Genomic DNA, 26,065 nt, shown 5'->3' with positions numbered 1-26,065 from the left:
GCGGCAATGACTAAGGGATACAGGCAACCGTCCTGCTCCCCCGCACCAGGGACAGGGCTAAGCTGACTATGGGATGTGTAGCTCAAGGTGAAATAAGGGAATGTCCAGTACTGACTTCTGAAAGAAATTTCCTCCCTTAAAAAAACAAAAAACAATAAGAAAAACTTGTGAAGAGAAGGCCTCTTCTATGTATTTTTTGTTTCTTGTTTGTTTGTTGTTGTTGTTGTTGTTGTTTTTGAGACAAAAGTTTCACTGTCGCCCAGGCTGCAGTGCAGTGGCGCGATCTCGGCTCACTGCAACCTCTGCCTCTCCGGTTCAAGTGATTCTCCCGCCTCAGCCTTCCAAGTAGCTGCAATTATAGGCAGGCGCCACCAAATCCCAGCTAATTTTTTGCATTTTTAGTAGAGACGGGGTTTCATCATGTTGGCCAGGCTGGTCTCGAACTTCTGACCTCAGGTGATCCACCCATCTCATTATCCCAAAGTGCTGGGATTACAGGTATGAGCCACCGCACCCAGCCCTTCTGTTTGCCTCAGATTCACTAACTTCAGATGGCCTGCGAAGGTATGATCCTTAGAGCAGTGAAACCCATCTGGGGAACACAAGAGAAAGGCCAAGACCACGACAGGGCAAAGTGCTGACATCAAGGAGTCACTCAGCCAGCCCTGGAACAGTCTCCTCCAAATTACGTTTCAGGAGATGAATGATGTCTCCACTGCCCATGCCAGTCTCAGATCGGCTGCTCCTGCCTGCTGAATGCTTCCTAATACATAAACCTGAGACTGCCGTTGAGTCCAGATCCACAACACCCAGCACATCACCAGACACACAGGAAACCCGAGTGCCTGGTGGATCGGAGGGAGGGTGTGTGTTTGCTTCCCATGAGTTCATGAGGCCGCCCTGTCCCGGCACCTTACGCAGATACAGCCCACATCCAGATGGTAGTCAGGAAAGCACTGAGTCACAGAGTTATTCCTCCCACTGACCTCCAACCCCCTTCTTCCCTGCCCTTCCTTCAGGGGCCCTGTGTGGAGGCTTCTGATGAAGAACAACGAAGATTTTCCTTTTTTTCACTTTTTTTTTTTTTTTTTTTTTTTGAGACAGGGTCTGGATCTGTCACCCAGGGTGGAGTGCAATGGTGTAATCTTGGCTCACTGCAACCTCCATCTCCTGGGCTCAGGTGATCCTCCCACCTCAGCCTCCTGAGTAGCTGGGACCACAAGCAAGCACCAAAACGCCCGGCTAATTTTTGTATTTTTTGTAGAAATGAGGTTTCACCATGTTGCCCAGGCTGGTCTTCAACCCTAGGCTTAAGTGATCCTCCCACTTCTGCCTCCCAAAGTGCTAGGGTTACAGGCATGAGTCACTGTGCCCAGCCAACAGTGAGATGTTACTAGTACTACTTATTTGTAAACCACAGTCTTGTTTTGATTTTCTCTGAACCTTTGTACTTGTGTTTCATGTCCAAGGCATGGGTGAAGAAAGAAAGAAAATTAATCTGCCAGAGAGAAAACAGGCTCCTCTTTTCAGTTTCTGCTTATCTCCTCCATGTTAAATAGGGTTGTCCACGGTAGTAGATACTGGTCTCTTTTGGCTGAACTCTTAAAGTTGTAGGTAGACCTTCTGACTTTTCTAGAGGAGATTTAAGTTCACTGTGTGTAGACTAAAAATAATAATGCTGAGCTGGGCACGGTGGCTCACACCTGTAATCCCAGCACTTTGGGAGGCTGGGGCGGGCAAATCACTTGATGTCAGGAGTTTGAGAGCAGCCTGGCCAACATGATGAAACCCCATCTCTACTGAAAATACAGAAATCAGTCAGGCGTGCTGGCGTGCGCCTGTAATCCCAGCTACTAGGGAGGCTGAGGCAGGACAATCACCTGAACCCAGGAAGCAGGTTGCAGTGAGCTGAGATCGCACCACTGCACTCCAGCCCGGGCAACAGAGCAAGACCCTGTCCCAAAAAAATAAAATAAATTTAAAAAAAATAATAATCCTGAAACAATAACAGTACTCGATTTTAGGTATTAAATGCTTCCTATGTGCAAGGTGTTATACTAAGAGCCTTACATGAATAATATTTAATCCTCTTGAGTGTCCAATAAGGAAAGAACAACTATTGTTAGCATTTTATAGTCAGGGAAACTGAGGCTTGGAGAGGTGAAGTAACTTGTCCAAAGTGACACAATAAGTGGCAGAATTGGAGTTTAAGTTTACAACTGTCTGATTTGGAAGCCCAAGATCCTAACCATGCTGCCATATGGTCACAGGAATTAACGAAAATATATCCCCTACAGCTGGAGGGGGAAAAACTGGAAAATGAGCTTTTCCTGCAAGTTGTATGTCATGGTGTTTGGGAGCTGGCCAACCGTGGCTCACAAGAGCTGATGACTGTTCAAAAAATATGCAAGCCAGTTATTGAACACTGCCATGATTAAAATTTAAATTATATTGATCTTAAAATTCAAATGGAAATACAAGGGACCCAGAATACCCAAAACAATCTTGAAAATGAAGAACAAAGTTGGAGAATTCACAATTCCAAATTTCAAAACTTACACAGAGTACAGTAACCAAAACAATGTGGCAATGGCATAAGGACAGGCATACAGATCAATGGGATATAATTCAGAGTCCAGAAAGAAATACTTACATTTATGGCCAATTGATCTCTGATAAGGGTGCAAAGACCATTTAATAGAGAAAGAATTATCTTTTTTAATCAATGCTTCTGGGACAAATGGATATTCACATTCAAAAGAACAAAGTTGAATGCCTACCTTAAACTATATAGAAAAATTGACGTAAAATGGATCAAAAGTCTTAACATAAGTGCTAAAACTATAAAAGTCTGAGAAGAAAATAGAGGGGTGGTTTCAGGGAAAAACTCTTTTCTGAAACCATGTTTCCCTTCTGCTCTCACACCACCATGACAATCAACACAGAAGACTCCTCTCACCAAATGCGAGAGGAGGGGTGACACCACAGAGGTAAACGTTCATGACCTTGGATTTGACAATGGATTCTTAGATACAACACCCAAACTTTTGTTGTTAAAACTTTTGTGCATCACGAGATGATATCAAAAGAATAAAAAGACTACCCACAGAATGAGAGAAAATGTTTGCAAATCATTTATATGATAAGGGTCTAGTTTCCAAAATATATAAACAACTTTTACAACTCAACTTTCCCCACATACTAAGCAGGGGACAGCAGCTGGGAGTCCTCCAATTCAATCCTGACACTGTCTACGTGGAGTTAGTTGGAGGTTGGAGGCTCAGTCCCCAAGACTGCCCCCCATACCCCCAGACACCAATAGCAAGTCAGAGACTTCAGAATGTCTGGCTGAGGGGCTTCAGGTGGAAGTTCCCATAACCCCCTCTTTGGGTTTGATTAATTTGCTGGAGCAGATGACAGAACTCAGGAAAACACTTGCTACCCCTTACTGCTTTATTATAAAGGACAGTACTAAGGACAGAGATGAAAAGACACATAGGGCGAGGTATGGGGTAGGGGCATGGAGCTTTCCAGCCCTTCCTAGGCAGCCACGCTCCAGGAACCTCCTTGTCTTCAGCTATCTGGAAGCTCCCAAACCCAGCCCTCTTGGGTTTTTATGGGAGCTTCATGAGGTCAGCATTCCTTTCCCCAGGGCATAAGGCAGGACTGACTCTCTGGGGAGGGTCTGAAGACTCACAATCAAAAAGGTGGGGAAGATTAGAGTCCTGCCTTGGGGCAGGTGAAAGAAGGACAGGAGACAAAGAGATTCTGTTTCCTGATGCCTAACACAGGCAATATTGTAACAATAGACTGCAACAAGGGCTATGAGAGTTATGAGCCAGGAACCCTATATATATCATAACACCACAGGAGTAAATGTTTATGTCCTTGGATTTGGCAATGGATTCTTAGATACAACACCAAAAACAGAAGCAACAACATCCAAAATAGATAAAGGGGACTTCATCAAGATTTAAAATCTTTGTTCATCAAAAGACACTATAAAAAGAGTAAAAAAGCCTACCCATAGATTGAGAGAAAATGTTTGCAAAGGATTTATACGATAAGGGTCTAGTATCCAAAATATATAAACAACTTTTACAACTCAACAACAAAAGCCAGATGACCCAGTTAAAAACTGGGCAAAGGACTTGAATCAACATTTCTATTTTAAAAAAGATACAAATAACCAATAACCACATAAAAATACTCAACATCATTAATCATGAGGGAAATGCAAATCAAAACCACGATACAATTTCATACCTTCAAAGAAAACAGAAAATAAAGTGTTGGCAAGGATGTGGAGAAATTGGAACCTTCATATACTGCAAGTGGAAATATAAAATGGTGCAGCCTCCGTGGAAAACAATTTGGTGGCTCCTCTGAAAGTTAAATATAAAATTGCCATATTACCCAGCAATGCCACTCCCCAAAATATGCCCAAGAATGGAAAACAGGAGTTTGCAGAAAACATAAAAACAGTACATGTATGATCATAGCAGCATAATTCGTAACAGCCAACAAGTAGAAACACAATGACCACCCACTGGCAAATGGATAAACAAAAAGTGGTATATCCATGTAACAGAATATCACTCAACCATAAAAAGAATGAAGTACTGATACATTCTACAACATGGATGAACCTTGAAAGCATGCTAAAAGCAAGAAGCCAGACACAAAAGGCCACATATTGTGTGATTCCATTTATATGAGATATCCAGAATAGTCAAATCTATAGAGACACAAAGTAGATGTGGTTATGAGGGGCTGGGGGAAGGAGGAAATGGGGAATGACCACTTAATGGATATGGTGTTTCTTTAGCGGGGGATGGTAAAAATGTTCTGAAATGGCTGCTGATTGTGGCACGATATTGTGAACGTATTAAAAGTCACTGAATTTTACACTTTAAAATGGTCAAAGTGGTGAACTTTTTTTGTTTTGTTTGTTTTATTTTTGTTTTTGAGACACAGTCTCACTCTGTCGCCCAGGCTGGAGTCCAGTGGTGCAATCTTGGCTCACTGCAACCTCCGCCTCCCAGGTTCAAGCGATTCTCCTGCCTCAGCCTCCTGAATACCTGGGATTACAGGCACCCAGCACCACACCTGGCTAATTTGTGTATTTTTAGTAGAGACAGGGTTTCATCATGTTGCCCAGGCTCATCTCTAACTCTTCACCCCAAGTGATCCACCCACCTCAGCCTCCCAAAGTGTTGGGATTACAGGCGTGAGTCACCACGCCCAGCCCCAAAGTGGTAAATTTTACATTATGTAAATCTTACCACAATTTAAAAATCCATAAAGCATGTATTAGAAACATTCTTGGCATGTAGAAGATGTTGTGTAACTGCCTGCTGTCTTTAATGATAAGCTCTTTAAAGGAAACAGTGATTGAGTGATATGACAAACTGCCAACTATGGGCACAGAGTTACTTTTACGGGGACAAAAAGATACTCTAAAATTAGATTTTGATGAAAATTACATAACCATGCGAATATACTAAAAAAAGTTGAATGTTACACTTCAAATGGGCTTATTGGAAAGTGTATGAAATACATCTCAATAAAACAATTAAAAGAAAAACATTATATAAGGTTACTATTAAATAAATCATACTAAAAAGTACTAAGTACTCAAAACTCATGACTTCTAAATTGTTTTACTACATTTTACTGTTACCTATGCTCTTGAAGTCATTGACTGTATCCTGTGTGTGGTGAAAATACTATATAATAACGTGTTCCCCAACTCCACTTTCAGTGATCTCATATTTATAACTTAAAATTGCTCAGGGTACCACTATTTACACCATGGAAATAGACATTCGCTACAAATCCAGGTGTCATTTATTGCTTTATTGATTGTCTCGACTTAAGAAAGTGGGGTAGAAAATATTAATTCAGGCCAGGCGCGGTGGCTCACGCCTGTAATCCCAGCACTTTGGGAGGCGGAGACAGGCAGATCACCGGAGGGCAGGAGTTCAAAACCAGCCTGGCCAACACGGGAAAATCTCGCCTCTACTAAAAATTCAAAAACAATTAGCCAGGCGTGGTGGTGGGTGCCTGTATTCCCAGCTACTCAGGAGGCTAAGCCATGAGAATCGCTTGAACCCAGGAGGCGGAGGTTGCGGTGAGCAGAGATCGCGCCACTGCACTCCAGCCTGGGCGACAGAATGAGACTCCATCTCAAAAAATAAAATAAAATAAAAAAGAAATATTAACTCAAATTCAAAAGTGTGTCGCTCTACAGATGCTACATTATGAGTAGCAGAAAAAAATTGAAGAAATATTTTTTGGTATTTTAAAACCATTATCCAATTCAGCAAAGAAGGATAAGTGAAGTTCTGACATATGTCTTATTTTGTTTTTGCCTTACTTCTTAATAAAAATGAAAATATCAACCAATATTCATGTCACAGCTACATACTGCAATTTTATACTGCAACAATGGTTTTGTAATGGATATAATAGCGCAGCAAAAATCAGAAGCATTTGGTAAAAACTGACTATCTCGAATTTATAAGAAACAGTACTGTGTATACTATTCTTCTTCTTATTTGTAAATTATATGCTACCCATATTTCAGAGAAATAATAAATAATAAGCTGTGTGTGTACATGTATAGGTGCACAATGTGTTTGTTTGTTTTTCAGAGAGCCAGTTGTTAATCATTTACCAGCACACCACTGGCTGCCGATGTGTGTTGCAGAGTGAGACCACCTTGGGTCCTCAAACAGCCTTAACTGAGTTTCTTCCCTAGCTGCTGCTGCCCAAGAAACATTCAGAGCAGGGTGCTCAAAGCTGCTGCTGGGAAGTGAGAATTTCTGCAGCCAAAGGTTGCACCTGCCCATCGAAGGTGGGAAGAGAATTACTGCAGCCTTATCTCCTTTGCTGAGAGCGCCTGCTAGCAAAAGACACTTCATCTTACTTTGCTTAATTCTTAGACAGCCAGTCACACTTGGTTATTGTTTTTAGTTTTACATACTAGTATTGAATTATTTTTATGGATGTTATTTCTCAGTTAGTATATTCCCTGGAGACTGCCCAAGTCTTTAGAATTTAACTTCTCCTTGGCTATAACTGCTGTTGCCACAAGTACCACCTACGAGCTGGTTTCATGTTCCTCTGGCTGCTCCTGCCCACGGGACCTTCTGAACAACTGCAAAAGGGACACCTCGCTTCCTCGTATGTGGTCATAGGTTGTGAGTATGACCACAGATTGTCAAGAGGCATTCGCTGGACACCAAGGAGAACACATAGACACCTTCAACCATGAGTATCCCTTGGGGATCCTTGGGACCGACACATGTGAGTCCTTATTATGAAGGTCAGGAGCTGACCTTGCAGTCACTGTGCTCTCTTCCAGACTGCCCACCAGGCTCCCCAACTCATCAACCACCTGACTGGGGGCAGCTAAAACAGTAACATTGGGAACCACTGACACTGACTGTGAGCCTAGCAAATGCCAAACTCTCTTCTAAGTGCTTTATATCTATTATCTCATTTAATCTTTAAAACAGCTCTTTGCGACAATTCCTATTATCAATTCCCCCTTTGTAGATGAGGAGACTGAGCTCAGAGAGATAAAATAATTTGTTCAAAGTCACAAGCCTAGCTCCAGAGACTGTACTCTTATCTAGTATATTAATAATCCCTAATGGGTAAGAACTTCACTCACCAGCGGCCTAAGGGCTCCTGGGTGGAGAAAAACTAAGTGGAGTCACAGATTTCTGATTCTTTAGTCTTCAGATACAATGAGGAGACTGAGGACCTGTAATCTCATCAGGGTCACAAAAGGAGTCAGGGCTTGACTGGCTGTCTCTTTTCTGCCTGTGAACTTGAGCTTATCCCTTCTAAGCCAAGGTTTCCTCATCTATAAAAGGAGGATAATAGTATCTACCTATGACAAGGGTTGAGTGATTGAATGATGTGCACGTTACATGGGAAAAGCAATGGCACTGACTTATAGGGTTGTTATAAGAATTTGGTGTAAATGCATTTAAAAAACCATAAGCATTGCATGGTACAAAGTAAGTGCTCAGTACATGGTATCTGTTGATATCATCATCACTATCATCATCATTATCATCAACATCAACATCATCCCACCATCACCAACATTATCACCACTATCATTATCATCATCACCAGCATCACCATCACCAACAGCACCAGCATCACCATCATTATCGACATCATCATCACCATCGTCATCACCATCATCACCATTATCATCGTCATCACCATCATCAGCGTCATATCACCATCATCATCACCACCATCAGCATCTTATCACCATCATCATCACCATCACCCTCCTATCACCATCACCACCATCAGCATTATCATACTACCATCATCACCATCACCATCATCATCAACATCAACATCATCACCCTCATCTTCATCACCATGATCATCATCATCATACTTTTATTCAGAAGACATTTATGTCTTTGTAAAAGATATGGGGTATGCCAGGCACATCCTTTGTACCACACAAATATTACTCCTTCCTCTCCTTCCCAAAGGCATAGGGCTTCAGGTCTCATACACATCAACCTCTTACAGGCCCATTCTGGCCTCTCCCAGCTCTCATTCAGAGGCCCTTGCTTTGGTACAAAGAGCTACTTTCCCTTTGCAGAAAGAGCTTACATAAAATAAAGCTGAGTTGTGGGTACAAACTCCTTCCTCTCTTCTGTCTCTTGGTCGTGTAGCTAACAATTTCCCTCCCCTTCAAGGCCTGGCCCTGTAGGCCCTCTCCATCAGCCCAAGCCTGTCTCCACTGGCCATGGCATGTTTCATTCAACTGCACAGTGCCACACACACTGTAAGGAGAGCTTAACAGGAGCCTGTTGAAATCTAAATGTCTGATGACTAAGAGAACAGTTAAGTCAAGTCTGGTGCATGTATCTCCAATTATCAGGCAGCCATTATAAATGATGGGCCATTATAAATGATGGAGATGTGCTTTTGTTTTGTTTTGGTTTTTCCTGATAACTTGATCATAGCTGCTCATTTTTGTGCATATAGGTGCATTGCTGATGCTTTCCATATTGAGTTTAAGTGATAATTAAAATGACTTCAGAAAGATCACACTAGGATTCAGTATTGTAATTCAAAATCCCTGTGTTCACAGGCAGGCATAGAAATGGCCTGATGTATGAGAAATCTATGCCTAAGTCAAAAGAGCCTTTGTAATAGATATAAAACAATACATTCTGAGAGAGAAGACATTTTTGGATCATTGTATAATTAACAATGTTCTTCGCACTCTTAGTGAAACATAAAATAACAGTACATCTTATCAATGATTGATTGCATCACATATTTATAAAATACAGCATATGAGACTTCTGTAATGATGTAATAATGTTGTCTGAAATACCTCAAATTGCATATATAGTATGATCACAATTGGAAAAATGCAAAAAAAAAAAAAAAAAGATATAGAAAAGAAAGACCGGAAAGAAAGAAAGGTAAAAGGTTAATGGAGCCTGCATTTGGGAGGAGAATAAAGATGGAATCCTCTTTGGCTGGTGGACGGAAGGGAATGCATTAATAATTTTTGGTCCATCACTCTTGAATTCAATTACCAAGTAGTTTGGATGATTTTTCCTCCCTACTCTGGGAGAGTATTTAGAATCGTTGGAATGCTGTGGAATACCAATGTTGGTAGCGTTGCCCCAGCATAAGAGAGCTCTACCTTTCTCCTAGATTGTGGGAAAGAGAAATCCTAGAAGCTGTGGCAAAAACAGTGGCCAAAGAAAAGTAGGAAAACAGAGAGGATGGAGAGGGAGCAAGAAGGTTCTTGAAAAAGCTCGTGCAGCTGAAGGTAAAGACAGCGGTCACTAGAGGGAAGACAGAAGCCAGGAGCAGAGAAGTCCAGTGGGGTCAATCGGAAGGGATAGGTGGCCTGAAGAGGAAGGACAGGGTGAAGGTGATGGCAAGGCGAGAAGGCTGGAGGGGGAAATTAAAGCCAGTGAAGGTGGTGATTTACATTTGCTGCCAAATGTAACAGCTTCATCTATTTCTCCCCGCAGCCGCCACCTACCCTTCCAAAGACAGAGAGTTCACCAAAATCTGGTAGAGGTTAAAAGGGCAGGTTTTGGAACCAAATTGCTTGTGCTGGAATCCTCTGCCTCAGCTTACTTGGAGAATGAAGAGAATAATGTTATTTATTTTACAGGGTTGTTTTTACATGTAAAGACCTGTGAACATTGCATGGAGCAAATAAGTGTTCAATGCATGTTACCTGCTCATAACTGCTACCATCATCGTCATCATTACTTCTACTTAGAAGAAAATATTCATGTCTTTGACTGACTAATTTTATTTGAGATGGAGCCTCGCTCTGTTGCCCAGACTGGAGTGCAGGGGTGCCATCTCAGCTCACTGCATCCTCTACCTCCCAAGTTCAGGCGATTCTCTTGCTTCAGGTAGGATTAGAGGCATGAGCCACCAAGCCCGGCCCAATATTCATGTCTTTGTAAAACACTGAATAACTTTTGGATAAAGTGGGGGTGGGGGATAGATAAACATGTTTTAAATAGGAAGCACACAAAAGCAACAGGTATTAACCCATCGCCCATTAAAGGGTCATAATGTCTATACCTAGTAATGCCAGCTGATAAAAGAAAAGCAGTTCTTGAAATGAATGCAGCCTCCTTCCTGGTGAGGATGGTAGAGGGTGGGCTAGAGGTGGGAGGGGGTAGTAAGACTGACGGAATACCAGTGGTGGATAGCAAGGTGGGGTGCAGATTTCTGAGATCTCAAACACAGCTCCCCTTTCCTGTCCTTCCAACTTTTTAGAAATTGAGGTGCAGAATTTCCAAAATAGCTCTATTTATAGCTGAGTGCCCAGTTCCAGGCAGACATTAAAGAATTCCCACCCACATAGGCTTTGGAACAAGCCAGGGGTCACAACACACCCCATCAACACTTCAGTTGTGGTGAATGTGTCATCATTTCCCTGTCTTGATTTACCTGTCAGAAACAACAGCATTTGTTTGGCTCTAGAAAGCTACCTGGTAATTAGGAGGCTTCTGTTTTGAGGTTGCAGCTGCAAAACAATCTTCCAAATGTGGAGAGGTGGCAGAGGAGTCACGGCACTCCTTCGGCCACACCAGTCTGCAGGCTGGCCCCAAGGTGACAGTCCAAGTCATCCTGCACACTTCTGCTGCTGCTCTCTGAACCCATGCTCCCCAAGGCAGCCAGACAGATCTTTAAAAAACATCACTGCCCTGCTTAATGCCCTTCAGTGGCTTCCTTTCTTCTTTTACAGTGAAATCCTAGCTGGTATCCACCACGATCCCCTATCCCATCCTATGCTAGCCATACGGGCCCCTTTCTTGTTCTAGCTAACAAAGAGGCTGAGCTCCTTTCTGCCTCAGGGACCCTGCACTTCCGTTCACCTTGCCTAGACTGTTCTCCCCCATGCAGCGCTTGCACTGTTTTTGATTCTTAAGTTCAAACATCACCTCCTTAAAATGGTCTTCCCTGTCTTTCCTCCTCCCCCGAAGTTGCTTCCACAAGGACCAGTTTAATTTCTTTAACTCCCTCATCACAGTTTCTATTTATCTTGTATATTTACTTGCTTACTTGCCTATTGTCTTCTTCCCCCGCATCACGGAAGTCCTGTTAAGTCAGAGGCCTTTTTGTTTTTGACTTGTTTATCATTTTATTTCAGCACTCAGCTCTGCAAGACATCCAAAGGATGACATGAATTAATTAATTAACCAGTGAATGAATGAATTAATCAACCAGTGAATGAATAAACCAGTCAATTCATGAGTGAGTGAATGTACCCTTAAGCTTCTTGAGTCGGGGAAGACAAGAACTTTATGGATCTCCCTCTCCTGACCCCCAGCTTCCAGAGATGTTAAGAATGGTATGGGTGTTTTTTCTTGGAAGGAGAAGAGAAAACCAGGTGAGGGCTGGAGAGGAGGGGATGCAGGTGACCATAGCATTACCCCAAGTTGTGTAGGACCCCAGGGGCTCACAGGGACCTGAAGTACGAGAACCATGGCCACACCATTAATTTATTTCAACACTTGAGAAAAAGTATCCATATGGCTTCTACTGGGTACTGCCATTGACTATGTTCCAGAGATGTTGACACAGAAGACACAACACTAAACAAGAAAGGGCTTGGTCTGGTAGCTTTTCATTATTGATTTGTGGCTGCAATTCAGAGCTTCTGTTTTAATCTATAGCAGGAAGAGTAGAGGTGGCAGAAAGTGTTACATCCACCCAGTCCCAAAGGCCCTTCTCCTTCCCCTTTCCTTCCTTGGGGCCAGAGAGGGTACAGAATGAGAGCCTCAGTCTAGATCCCACCTCTGCCACCAACGTGCTGCCTAGGACAAGAATGTCTCTCACATCCTGGTTAGGAGAACAAGCTTCTGAACCAGATGGGCTGTGGTGATCCCAGTCGCATCACTGATCAGCAGTGTGAACTGGGGCCCTCTGCTACGATTCCCTGAGCTTCAATTTCCTACTTAAAATGAAGTGGGTAATATACTCTATTCATAGACTTGTGAGGGTTAAACAATCTGTACAAAGAGCTGAGCACAATGCCTTGGACAGAGTGAGCAACTAATAATGTCAGCAATCCTCTGCAGTGGCAGAAACACTCTTTTCTGAGCCTTAATACCCCACTTTAAAAAAGAAGAAAGGGGGGCCGGACACGGTGGCTCTTACCTGTAATGTCAAGCTGAGGTGGAAGGATTTCTTGAGCTCAAGAGTTCAAGACCAGTCTGGGCAACACAGCAAAACTGCCTCTCTACTAAAAATAAATAAAAGTTAGCCAGGTGTGGTGGCATGCACCTGTAGTCCCAGCTACTCAGGAGGCTGAGATGGGAGGATCCCTTGAGCCAGGGAGGCAGATGTTGTACTGAGCCAAGATCATGCCACTGCACTCCAGCCTGGGAAACAAAGACCCTGTCTCAAAAACAAACAACAAAAAAGACAAGTTGGAGTCACATTTATGTTTTCCAACACTGAGATATGTAGAAGAGAGAATTTTAGGCGATAGAGTGATCTCTATGAATCCCTTCCGGCTATAACATTCCACAAGTAGATTAAGCTCATTGGTTTTATTCAGACTGGTCATCCCCTGAAATAGATGGAGATCAGAAGCAGCATTTGGAGTGAATCAAACAGATTATTGCCAAGGGGTGAACAAGGGGCGACATCCTATCCCTATCCAGCACCACCTTATGGGAAAATGAACACTGCTGGGTCAATGTGGGTGTTTCTTCTAGGAGGAGACGCCGGGGCTTTACGAGCTGGCGAACACAGTTCCCTTTCCATGAAAAGGACAGAAATGGCTCAGGGTTGGGGACGGCGGTGTGCTCTTTGGTTTGAGTTTTTCAAGAGAAGTCTTCCTTCAGGCCAATCTGCAAACCTTCCCTTGAACTCAAACAGGAGGTGAGTAGATGGTAAGTGATGTTCCCATTTCACATACTGAGAAAACACAGCAGAGAAGCTGTAAGATAAAATGACTCTGAGACCACACCTTGAATTTCATACCTTGAATTTCTATTGCGTCGCTCTTCTGAGAAGCTTGGAACACTCACCCAAATTGTGAAATGACTTGGCCCCGTCCTCACAGTCATACTGAGACCAGGATTACAGCCTGAACATGTGACATCCCAGTCAACAACACATGCATCAATCATACTGAGGTCCGACATTATGTCAATACCGGCATATTTATTAGTTTGTGGTCTTGCTGTCACCTCGTTCCTTTACCAAGTGGTAAATCAGTTACGTGAAACCTGCCTTCCACCCAAGCGTGGACTGCTGGCGGCGTATCAGTGGTTACCAATCACCAGAGTATTGCCAAGAGCTCCACAAAGGAGACACAGGGGATGGGAGGTTATTCAAGAAATAGGCTGCCTGGTATGGCTAGGAAATCAGGCACACCCTGATTTAACTATAAAGCTAACTGTGTGACTTGGGGTGGGGATCATCACCAGTTTGAACTTCAGACTTCCCATCCTTGGGATAGGCAGCCATAGCTACAGTAAAGATAAAATGTAAATGTCTTTTTTTTTTTTTTTTTTTTCAGATGGAGTCTCACTCTGTCACCCAGGCTGGAGTGCAGTGATGCGATCTTGGCTCACTACAACTTCCACCTCCTGGGTTCAAGCGATTCTCCTACCTTAGCATTCTGAGCAGTTGGAACTACAGGTATGTGCCACCACACCCAGCTCATTTTTATATTTTTTGTACAGACAGGGTTTCACCATGCTGGCCGGGATGCTCTTGATCTCTTGACCTCATGATCTGCCTGCCCCGGCCTCCCAAAGTGCTGGGATTACAGGCGTGAGCCACCAGGCCCAGTCGAAATGTGAGTTTCTATGCAAAGTGCCTATCCTAGTATCTGGCACATAATAGGTACTTATAAAATGATTACCTTTTTAGGTAAAGGCTTGGAACTCTGTGCTGGGGAGTCTGCCCTGAGGTCTTTTTTGACTATTGCAAAAATTAGCTTTCTCAGCACCCTGTACATGTCTCTGTGTTAATGCTTATTATACCACGCTGGGACTGTCAGTGTAAACAGCTGACCACTCAGTAGGACCAGGGGCCTCTTAGCAGCAGGCACGGTGTCTTTCTACGTCTGTATTTGCAATGTCTACTCTGTGCTTTCCAATACGACAGCCACTAGACACATCAGCTACTTAAATTATTTAAATTACAAAAAATTAAACTAAAAGTCCAGCCCCTGGTCATACTAGTCACGTTTCAAGTGCTCAGTAGCTACATGGGGCCACTGTCCTGGACAACATCATCAGAAAGTCCTCCCTTTCTTTGTACAAATTCCTGTTGGATGGCATTGACACCTGAGAGGCACAGAGGAAATGTCACTGTCTTCTAAGTAGGAAGGAAGAGATGGGAAAAAAAATACAGCCTCTGAAATACAGCCATTGAAATACAGCCATTGAACAATGGCATGTTGGACCCTAGAAACCAAGAAACAATGATTCTGAAAAAATAATCACTGAAACTTTTCTGACCTAAACTTCATTCCCAATTTTCCTCATTTTCATCACATTTATCCTAAAATGTCATGCAAAATCTGAAAACACATATACTCTGTAAAAACGAGATGCCATGAGTGGTATGGTTTGGCTGTGTCCCCACCCAAATCTCATCTCGAATTGTAATACAAGCTGTAATCCCCACATGTTAGGGGAGAGACCTGGTAGGAGGTGACTGGATGATGGGGGTGGTTCCCCCATTCTATTCTTGACATAGCGAGTTCTTACGCGATCTGATGGTTTTATATGTGGTGGTTTCCTCCCTCCCTCTTTCTCTCTCCCTCCCTGCCCCTCTTGCCTGCCGCCATGTAAGGTGCACTAGCTTCCTTTCCACCATGATCGTAAGTTTTCTGAGGCTTCCCCGACCATGCAGAATTGTGAGTCAATTAAACCTCTTTTCTTTATAAATTTCCCAATCTCGGGCAGTTTTTTATAGCAGTGTGAGACCAGACTAATAAAGTGAGCTAAACATCCATCCTCACTCCAAATCTGTTCATTCCATAAAGGTAAGTATGGCACACACTGCTGCTGCTAAACAGGTCATCATGTCAAGGTTTCCTAAACACTTTTCCAGGTGCTATTTATGTATCGTCATATTTAATTCTCATAATAACCACTGGAATCCCCATTTTACAGATGAGAAAACTGACGAACAGTAGGTATGAGTTGACCCAGGTCACACAGTAAGCAAGTGTCACAGAGGCAGGACTCCAGGCAGAGGGGCTTCGCACGAGATGCCAAGGTCCTATCCCAGCCACTGTGCTTACTGCCCAGTAAGAGCCAAACCATCCCAACCACCGAGCCAAGCCAATGTAGCCTGTGCTGCTGTTGTTCACCCACAATCCTTAGACACAAAAGTTGTTTCTAGAGAAAGACTGGAAAACATCCTTCTGAGATGAATGCAGAATCATTTTTTTAGCCCAAGCCATGCATTCCCTTCTCTCCCTTTTACTTCCCAGTATCTTCTAAGTTTGGAAGTTGGAATAAGGTTTTCTGAACTAGCCATGGTGTTATACTCCTATAGGTTTAAGACCATCTTTGGAACACATAGCTGTGTCCTGCAGAGAAAAATAAATAAATGAGAAACCTAGTAAGTGTCAGTCATCACAGGGTCTTACGTTTAGAGTAGTGATGGCCACTGACTGACCTTGTCTTTGAAGGATTCAAGCTCTTACAGGGGCTCATGATATACTGTTTACCAACATCCAATAAGACAGGGTTAAAACGGAGGATCACATTCACTCATAGATTCAGTCGAAAGTAGTGGGCCAAAAGCCACTGCTCCATTGGCTAAAGGAAAAATAAAGTCACTAGCAATGATGCTAATGATTATTATAATAATACCCACCATTGAATGAACACCTGTCCCCTATGTGAACCATTGCTCGCACCATATTACTAAGGCTCCTGTCCCATCTATAAGAAAGACATTTTCATCCTCATTGGAGCAGGGTGAAGTTGTGGGGAGAGGTGGGGGAGTGAAACACCATGCCCTCCAAGGTTGTAGACGGGATGAGCAGTTTCAAAGCCCATACTCTCCCTTGATACCCCACCCCCCGGAGGGCGCTACAGTGACTTCTCTGTTTCAACAAGAGATGAGAAATGAGTCTGGGTATCTCAGTTCTTGGAGTAGACAAGCCACAAAAGAACATCACTTTGGGGTAAAAGTCAGGCCCTGTTTTACTCATCGAAAAGTTGCCCAAAAACTACATGTTCGTGGGGGTGGGGAGGGGATGACACACTGTGATTCTCAAAGGCATTGCTGTGAACAGTCAAAACACTCATAAATTTCAAACCCACAAGATATTTTTGTTTTGTGATATTATTGGCCGGGCTGAATACAGTCCTGATAATCTTTCAGTTCAATGAACAGGCAGAAGAGAGGAGAGGAGCCAGGCAGGCAAAAGGAATTGAGGTATTTCAGGAACCAGACACTTCTAAAAATACAGCCACATTTGATGGAGTGAGTTGGTGACTCTGTCACTCTTCTTCTCCTGAGCCTGAGATGGCTCCCCACCCTCAGGAGTGAGGGCTGTGATGTCTCTCGCCATCTGCCCAACTTACCTACCTTTCTAGTTCTACCTGCAGCCCCTCTTCGAGCATACACCACAAATATCTGCTACAGGGGACCCCATGCTGTCCATGAGTGCTATGGGCAACGGTGACGTTCCATCTGTCTTAGTGCTCTGCGGTAAACATCTGCTCAATAAGGGGATGGACTTGCAGAATGGGCATGTGATAGGAAGCACAAGATCTCCTGGGAGCACCTCACAGTTCAGAACAATGCCATGTGCCAGGAATTGCCTTATGCTATCATATGTGCCCATGTGTGTGTATGTGTGTGTGTTGGGTGGGGACATGTACAGCCTCCCCTCCCCCCACACAGACAATGAGTCTTTCAAGGAACTGCCCGGAGCCTGGGAGCACCTCATGGTTAAGAACAACGCCATGTGCCAGGAACTACCTTATGCTATCTTATGTGCATATGTGTGGGGGGGGAGGGGGACACGTACAGGCTCATGCGTGTGCGCACGCGCACACACACACACACACACACACACACACACACACAAAATGGGTCTGTCAAGAAACTGCCCGAAAAAATGACATGAGACACACCAACGTGGATTCCAACACCTATCATCATTCAGAACTCTTTCTTTTTTTTTGAGACATTGTCTCGCTCTGTCACCAGACTGGAGTGCAGTGGCGCGATCTCGGCTCACTGAAAACTCCGACTCCCTGATTCAAGCGATTCTCCTTTTTCAGCCTCCTGAGTAGCTGGGATTACAGGCGCCTGCTACCACGCCCAGCTAATTTTTGTATTTTGAGTAGAGACAGGGTTTCACCATGTTGGCCAGGATGGTCTCCATCTCCTGACCTCATGATCTGCCTGCCTTGGCCTCCCAAAGTACTGGGATTGCAGGGATGAGTCACTGCACCCAGCCTAGAAGTAATGTTTAATAAAAATCTCCAGCCCTTCTTTCAGAAGGACCTAGACGGGCTTCCTTCAAGGAACATGAAAAAATTAAGTTGATGTGTGGACACCAACATATGCACATGCATCTTTAAACAGTGTGAAAGAGTCTCATTTCAGCCACATGCTTTCAGAGTCATGTTTTCAAATTCCATGAAGGGCCTGGGAAAACTGTGTTAAATTCCAATTCTGGATCTCCCATACAAGTATGCGAATGATGCCAACAGAAGTTAAATACAATAATCGTTTTGCAGCCAAGCTCCCTGTTCAGAACTCACATGCAAAGTACTGCCTGATCCCAATTAGCTCAAACTTGTTTTTGCTTCTCTTTGTTTGTCGCCTCCTGCCCACCTTCCAGGGACTCCTCATTTTGGGTTATTTGTTCAGACTTCAACTCCAGACACACCACTGTGATTTCGTTTTTAATAAACACTATCCAGTGAGTAGCGGAAAACAATGAGAGGCACCTGCACTCTATTATAACTTCTCATTCCACCCACGAGTGCGGAGCTATGAATAAGTGAGAGCCCCACTAGTCTAAGAATAGTAACAGCGTTTTCCCATCAACACAGCATCCTCCAACTTCAGCTAACACAAGGGACAAAGTACCCTGCTGCCCGCCTCATTGTTTTAAATGAGGGAGGAATGTCCCGAGGGGAGCCAAATGTCTGCGCTCTGCAGCCAATGACTTACCCATGGGTGGGACCAGAGGATGGTCCATTCCAAGCTAGGAAACAGCTGAACATTCCTGAAACCTTAGGGATAGGGAGTGCTAATGACTGACAGTCCAGAAGCCAGAGCCAGAAGTTGTAGTAGAAGGAACATGGGGTGTGGAATCGGAGAACACAAACTCGGGCTCTACTTATTAATAGAACAAATATATATTAACTGCCCAACAAATGTTTAGGCACTGTTCTAGCGGCTTAGGATACCGACAAAATCGTCAAAGTCCCCTGCCCTCATGAAGCTTACAATCTAGCCACTCACTAGCCACTGAGCAAGTTACCTAATTTCTTTTTGTTTGTTTGTTTGTTTCTTTTGTTTGTTTGTTTTGCTTTGGAGACAAGGTCTGCAAAACAGACCTTGATGCCCAGGCTGGAGCACAGCGGCATGATGACAGCTTTCTGCAGCCTCAGCCTCCTGGGCCCAAGCAATCCTCCCACCTCCACCTCCTGAGTAATTGGGACTACAGCCATGTACCACTGCACCCCATTATTTTTTTGATTTTTACTTTAAGTAGATACAAGTTCACGCTATGTTGTCCAGGCTGGTCTCAAACTTCTGAGCTCAAGCAATCCTCCTGCCTAAGCCCCACAAAGCGCTGAGATTACAGGTGTGAGCCACCGCGCCTAGCCAACTTACCTAGGTTCTTTGAGCCTCTGTTCCCCTCCTGTGGAATGAGCTAAACATATGCCTATGCCCCAGTGGCTTGAAGCCTGGAATTAGCTAGTAGTAGCCATGCTGGTAATAACAATCACCACTTTTTTATTTGTTTGTTTAATCTCTTCCAAAGTATTTGTTACCTACAAAAGGGAAGATAATAACTTCACACTGCAGAACCCAGAAGTCATCACATTAACCAAATGATCAAGATTAACATTTCCAAGAAGAATTACACGTCTACTGGAATCAACCTAAATGTCCACAAATGACAGATTGGATTAAAAAAAAAGTAGTGAATATACACCATGGAATACTATGCAGCCATATAAAAGAATGCGATCATGTCTTCTGCGAGAACACGGACGGGGCTAGAAGCCATTATCCTCAGCAAACTAATGCAGGAAGAGAAAATCAAATACTGCATGGCCTCACTTACAAGTGGAAGCTAAATGATGAAAACTCAAGGACACAAAGAAAGAACAACAGACACTGGGGCCTGCCTGAGGGTAGAGGGAGAGAGGAAGGAGAGGATCAGAAAAATAACTATTGGATACAAGGCTTATTACCTGGGTGATGAAATAATCTGTTCAACAAACCTTTGTGACATGAAGTTACCTATATAACAAACCTGCACATGTACCCCTGAACCCAAAATAAAAGTTAAAAAAAGAATTACAGGTCCAATTAACATTTCCAGTAAGAACACACATATACACTAATAATCCCTTGGTAAAATACACTGAGAGGGAAGTATCATTTTTGTACTATTCTTTTCAAAAAAATGGTTTTTATTGTAGTACAATGTATGTAACACAAAATTTGTCATTTTAACTTTTTTTTTGTGAGAGAGCTAGACTGAACTCGTTAAAGCTCACCTTTGCTGTGATCCAACTCTTATTTATTTATTTATTTATTTATTTATTTATTTATTTATTGTGAGACAGAGTCTTACTCTGTTGCCCAAGCTGAAGTGCAGTGGCACAATCTTGGCTCACTGCAACCTCCACCTCCTAGGCTCAAGCAATTCTCCTGCTTCAGCCTTCCAAATAGCTGGGATTACAGACACCCACCACAATGCCCGCCCAATTTTTGTATTTCTAGTAGAAACGGGGTTTCACCATGCTGGCCAGGCTGGTCTCGAACTCCTGACCTCAAGTGATCCGCCCATCTCAGCCTCCCAAAGTGCTGGGATTACAGGCGTGAGCCACCGCACCCAGCGCATTTTAAGCATTTTTAAGGATACAATTCCGTGGCATTAATTACACTCATGATGTTGAACAACCATCACTTCTATCTCCAAAACTCTTTCATCACCTCAAACAGTAATAACCACCTTTGAACATATATTTAGGTTGGGCATGCATGTTCTTCAACCTCAACAGAAGCTGGGGGTTGGATCACTGTGATAGCTTCCTAACTGGATACCCTGTTTCAGTCTTCACCACCTATCCCTTACCAATCCACTCAACACAGCAGCCAGAGCGATCTTTTCAAAGAGTAAGTCAGTTCCGGTCAGTTCTGTGTTCAAGACTATCCAAATGGATCTCCATCCCTTAAAATGCGTGCTCTGGCCAAATGCTAATTCTCTTCCCTTCATCCACACCTGCTGTGTTGCAGCTGGCTTACTTGCATGCCATGCCGGCTGACCTGAGGGCCTTTGCACGTGCGGTTCCTTCTGCCTAGAATGTTCTGCCTCCAGCAATCCCTTCCTTCATGTCTCTGCTCCAAATGTCACCTTTTTAGAGAGGTCTTCCTTGTACAGTCTCTATCAAACAGCACACATAATAATTCTTACGCTCCTCGCTCTGCCTATTTTCCCATAGCACTGATTAGCATCGGTGCCAACCGTCCACAGATGACGTCTCAGTACCAGGCACATTTAGCATTGCTCGGCTTGGGAGGAAAGAAGAGTTTCCCCTTTGCCAGCGGACGCCATGTCCAGCTTCGCCAGTAGAGGGCGCTGCAGGGACACTGGCGCAGACGGGTTCTGGTGCGAAGCTCCCATAGGGGCATCTCCCTGTGGGCGGTTCACTTCGGGGAGGGGGGGAGGGGGCGGGAGTTTCCCGGCACTCCACCCCTGCAGGCTGATTTCCAGAGACTTCCTTGGTAGGCACCTCCCACAGACGTCCTTCCCTGGCACCACAGAGAGCGGTTTCCCAGTGAGTCCCACCTTTATGGGGGCTTCAGTGAGAACCTTTCTGCCATCCAATGGGCCATGGCCCAGTCCAGATCCCAGTCCTGGCCCGTGGGGACCCCAGATTTGCTCTTTCCTGGGTGTACTGCCCCATCCCCCATTGGTACTGGCTGCTCCCAAATCTGTATTCTTGGATTCTTTAGAGTTAAATTTTTTTTTTGTTTGAGACAGAGTCTCACTCTATGGCCCAGGCTGGAGTACAGTGGTGCAATCTAAGCTCACTGCAACCGCTGGCTCCCGGATTCAAGTGATTCTCCTGCCTCAGCCTCCCAAGTAGCTGGAACTACAGGAGCACACCACCAACCCCGACTCACTTTTGTATTTTTAGTAGAGACGGGGTTTCACCATGTTGGCCAGGCTGGTCTCGAACTCCTGACCTCAGTGATTGGCCCACCTCGTATTCCCAAAGTGCTGGGATTACATGCATGACCCACCATGCCCGACCTACTCTTTTTTATTTTATTTTACTTAAAGACACGGTCTCACTCTGTCACCCAGGCTGTAGTACAGAGGTGAGATCATAGCTCACAGCAGCCTCAACCTCTTGAGCTCAAGCGATCCTCCTGCTTCAGCCTGCCAAGTAGCTGGGACCCCCACATGCTCCACCACACACGCCCAACTACTTTTTATTTATTTTTATTTTTATTTTTTTATTTTATTTTTTATTTTTTGTAGAGACAGGACCTCCCTATGTTGTCCACACTGATCTCGAACTCCTGGACTCAGGCGATCCTTCCACCTTGGCCTTCCAAAGTGCTGGGATTACAGACAGGCATGAGTCACTGTGCTCGGCCTGATTCTCTTTACCCTTTAGTAGCCAAAACCCTGTTGTAGCTAATAATTCTTAATATTAAATCTTCCCTGTTAAAATTATGATATAGTTTCTGTCTCCTAACTGGATCCTGACTGATGGAGTAACAGACATGGTAAAAATAAATAAATAAATAAATAAATAAATAAATAAATAAATAAATAAATAAATAATGTGGGGGGTGGGTGGGAGGGATTACATTTGTTAATTACCCATTTTATCTCCATCTGTCACAGAATGCAAGCAAGGACTTTGCTTTGTTTACCACGATGTCCCCAATGGCTACAACATGTGCTTGACAGGTTACAAGCACTGGATAGGAAGGAAGGAGGGGAAGAGAGGGGGCGGAGCAAGAGACATTGTGAAAAAGAGAAAGGATGGAGGGAGGCAGGATGGATGGATGGATGGACAGACGGATGGACGATGGTGACTCCCCCCAACTCCCAGGTGGCATTACACGGGCTGTAACAGCGCCTGGTATATAGTAAGCACTCATGAAATAGTCATATATGAATCTCTTTGCAGCCCTTACATAATTTCCATTTAACCTTTCCATCCTTCCACCAATTATTTGGAATACCAAAATACCTCACTATCAAATGCCAGAGCCTTATAAAGATGGCCTTGTGGCCCCTGCGCCTACCCAACCCCAACAACTCTCTTGAAGAAAAATAACAACAAATTGACCAGAGACTGAAAAAGGAAAGCATCTTTGAACCACACCTTCTGGTGCTTGGTTTTATTCTGATGCTCAAAACAGAATGGAAACCGTCCTCCTCCCCTACACCATGGCGCAGCGTCAGCTTCCTGCTTACAAACAACGGCATTGGCGGGTCATGCTCTCCTTTCTCTTTGACTGGAAAGCCCTTCAGGGTCAGTACCTCATTTCTGGTGTGAATATTCACTTTCTCGTTCCACAAAAAGACCCACCAGCAAGCTGTGAAATGAGCATTTCACAAAAGCATAAAACACGCCGATAATTAAAACGCTGGGCAATTAGAGTGACAAACTACACTCCCCAATCTACAGAGTTAATTTCACAACCTCTGAAAATTATAAAGGAAATCTATTTAGAAATTAGGAAGCTCCAAAGCCTTTTTTTTTTTTTTTCCTCGAGATGAAGTCTCACTGTGTCACCCAGGCTGGAGTGCAGCGGCGCAGTCTCCGCTCACTGCAACCTTTGCCTCCCAAGTTCAAGTGATTTTCCACTCTCAGCCTGGTGAGTAGCTGGGATTACAGGCGTGCGCCACCACACCTGGCTAATTGTTGTATTTTTAGTAGAGAGCGGGTTTCAACATGTTGGCCAGTGTGGTCTCAAACTCCTCACCTCAGATGATCCGCCCACCTCAGCCTCCCAAAGTGCTGGGAGTACATGCATGAGCCACTGCACCAAGCCAGGCAACTTTTTTTTTTTTTTTTTTTTTAACTCATCTATCACTTTTTGGCTTGCTTGAGATTTCACTCTCCAACTTTTTTCTACTGTGACCTAGTTGCTTCAGAATCATACTGGCTGTACTTCTTTGCTTATAAAATAACCGACCCCCCCGCCCCGCAGCCTAAAAAAGGGACAAAATCCAAAGCCAAGAATTACAATTACCCGGTAAAACACATAATAAGAATACAATACAGCTAATGAAAAAGCACAGGGGGTGGAATACCAACCTCCCCAATGTAAACAACAACTGTCTCTTTCAATTACCGTTTTCTTTTTACCTCAACTTCTAAACAGTACTAGAAGACATTAGCACAGTCCAAACTCGTGGTGCTGGAAGGTTATCATTAGCCAAAAGAAAGCAAAAATAGAACCAAAAAGCCATGTGAGTATCAAAAATGGATGTTACTTTCTCCAAAGAAGATACACAAACGGCCAGTAGGCACGTGAAAGTACGCTTAACATCATTAGGGAAATGGGAATCAACACTGCAGGGAGGTAACACTTCACTCAGATGGCTATTCTATTTTTTTAAGTAAAATAAGTATTGGGTAGATGTGGAGCAACTAGAATCCTGATGCACTGCTGGTGGGAATGTAAAATGATGCGGCTGCTGTTGAAGACAGTTTGGCAGTTTCTCAAAAGGTTAAGCACACAGATACGAAACGACGCAGCAATTTCACTCCTAGGTATACATGCAGAAGAATCGAAAGCAGAGATCTGAATAGATATTGGTACAATGTTCATAGGAGTATTATTCAAACACACACACACACACACACACACACAGACACACACACACTCACACAGAAACATTATTCAGCCATAACAAAGAAATTTTGTGGCAGGTGTGGTGGCGCAGTCATCTCAGCGCTTTGGGAAGCCCAGGCGGGTGGATGACCGGAGCACAGGAGTTCAAGATCAGCCAGGGCAACACGGCAAAATCTGTCTCTACTAAAAATAAAAAAATAATAATAAAAATAAATTTAAAAAGCCAGGCATGGTGGCATGCACCTCTAGCTCCTTGGGAGGCTGAGGTGGGAGGATCACTGAAGCCCAGGAAGTCAAGGCTGCAGTGAGCTTTGATTGTGCCACTGCACCCCAGCCTGGGCAACAGAGTGAGACCCTGTCAAAAATGGAAGGAAGGAAGGAAAGAAGGAAGGAAGGAAGGGAGGAAAGGAGAGAGAGAAGGAGGGAGGGAGGGAGGGAGGGAAGGAGAGGAAGAAAGAAAGAAATTTTGATATATGCTACAATATGGATTGACCTTGAAAACAATTTCATAGATGCAGAAAGTAAAGTAGGGGTTACCAGAGACCACAAGCTTGGGGAAGTGAGGAAGGGGCAGTTATTTTTTAAAAGATGTGATGAAAATATTTTAGGTATAGGTAATGCTGATGGTTACACAACATTGTGAATATATTTAATGACTATGAATTTTACACTTATAAATTAAAATGATAAATACTAAGTTGTGTACATTTTGCCAAAATAAAAAAAGTAAAGGTCACAAAACCTGAACATTAAAATCTGTGGAAGAGCTTGATCTGCCCTTGCTCTGAGCCTGTTCAGGCCCTTTTTTCAAACAAGTCTAACAAACTTGATTAACTGAATTCCTTGTCTTAAAAACTTTGGAGAGAGCTAACTCACAAGGCCTCTGAGCATGTTTTTCTTTTTTAGAGACAAGGAGACAAGCTCTCCCTCTGTCGCCCAGGCTGGAGTGCAACAGCACAATCACAGCTCACTTCAGCCTCCACCTCCTGAGCTCAAGCAGCCCTCCTGCCTCAGCTGCCTGAATAGCTGGGACTACACGGAGGAGACACGACAGCCGGCTAAATTTTTTTAAGACGTGGGGTCTTGCTGTGTTGCCCAGGCTGGTTTTGAAGCCATAGCCTCAAGCAATTCTCCCACCTCAGCCTCTCCAAGTGCTGAGATTACAAGTGTGCTACCATGCCCGGTCTCCTCTGCACATTTTAATAAGGCTAGCGACACACAGGAGAGATGACGAAGAGCAAGGCTTTCTACCAGCGCTAGGTGATTCAAGTTTACCTGGTGGAATCCTTTTTTGAGTAGCCCAGAAAAGGCCAAGGCACGCAGTATGTCCTGCCCCTGGCAAATGGAACCTGACCCAGTTCCCACCGACTATCAGGGGACGGTATGTGTGACCACACCTCTGACCACAAATCATTCACCCCGTCCCACTCCTTTGGAACTGCTCATGTCA

The 26,065-nt window shown here is 43.9% G+C and overlaps 1 protein-coding gene across 2 annotated transcripts in view, besides 1 other annotated feature; it reads right to left on the bottom strand.

Annotated features, from left to right (window-relative positions):
• Positions 1 to 26,065, bottom strand: part of WWOX (WW domain containing oxidoreductase) — a 1,113,014-nt gene that overhangs the window by 420,552 nt on the left and 666,397 nt on the right. The gene's annotated exons all lie outside the window — the stretch shown is intronic.
• Positions 23,307 to 23,386: an enhancer, noted in NCBI's record as "active region_11156". NCBI's record gives its function as "activates an Ori minimal core promoter by ATAC-STARR-seq in GM12878 lymphoblastoid cells {active_cell/tissue: GM12878}" and the evidence as "EXISTENCE:reporter gene assay evidence [ECO:0000049][PMID:35858748]".

Source organism: Homo sapiens, chromosome 16, assembly GCF_000001405.40.
Source record: "Homo sapiens chromosome 16, GRCh38.p14 Primary Assembly".
Classification (NCBI taxonomy): domain Eukaryota; kingdom Metazoa; phylum Chordata; class Mammalia; order Primates; family Hominidae; genus Homo; species Homo sapiens.
Note: the sequence above shows the minus strand (reverse complement) of the source record. Positions and strands in the feature narration are given on the sequence as shown.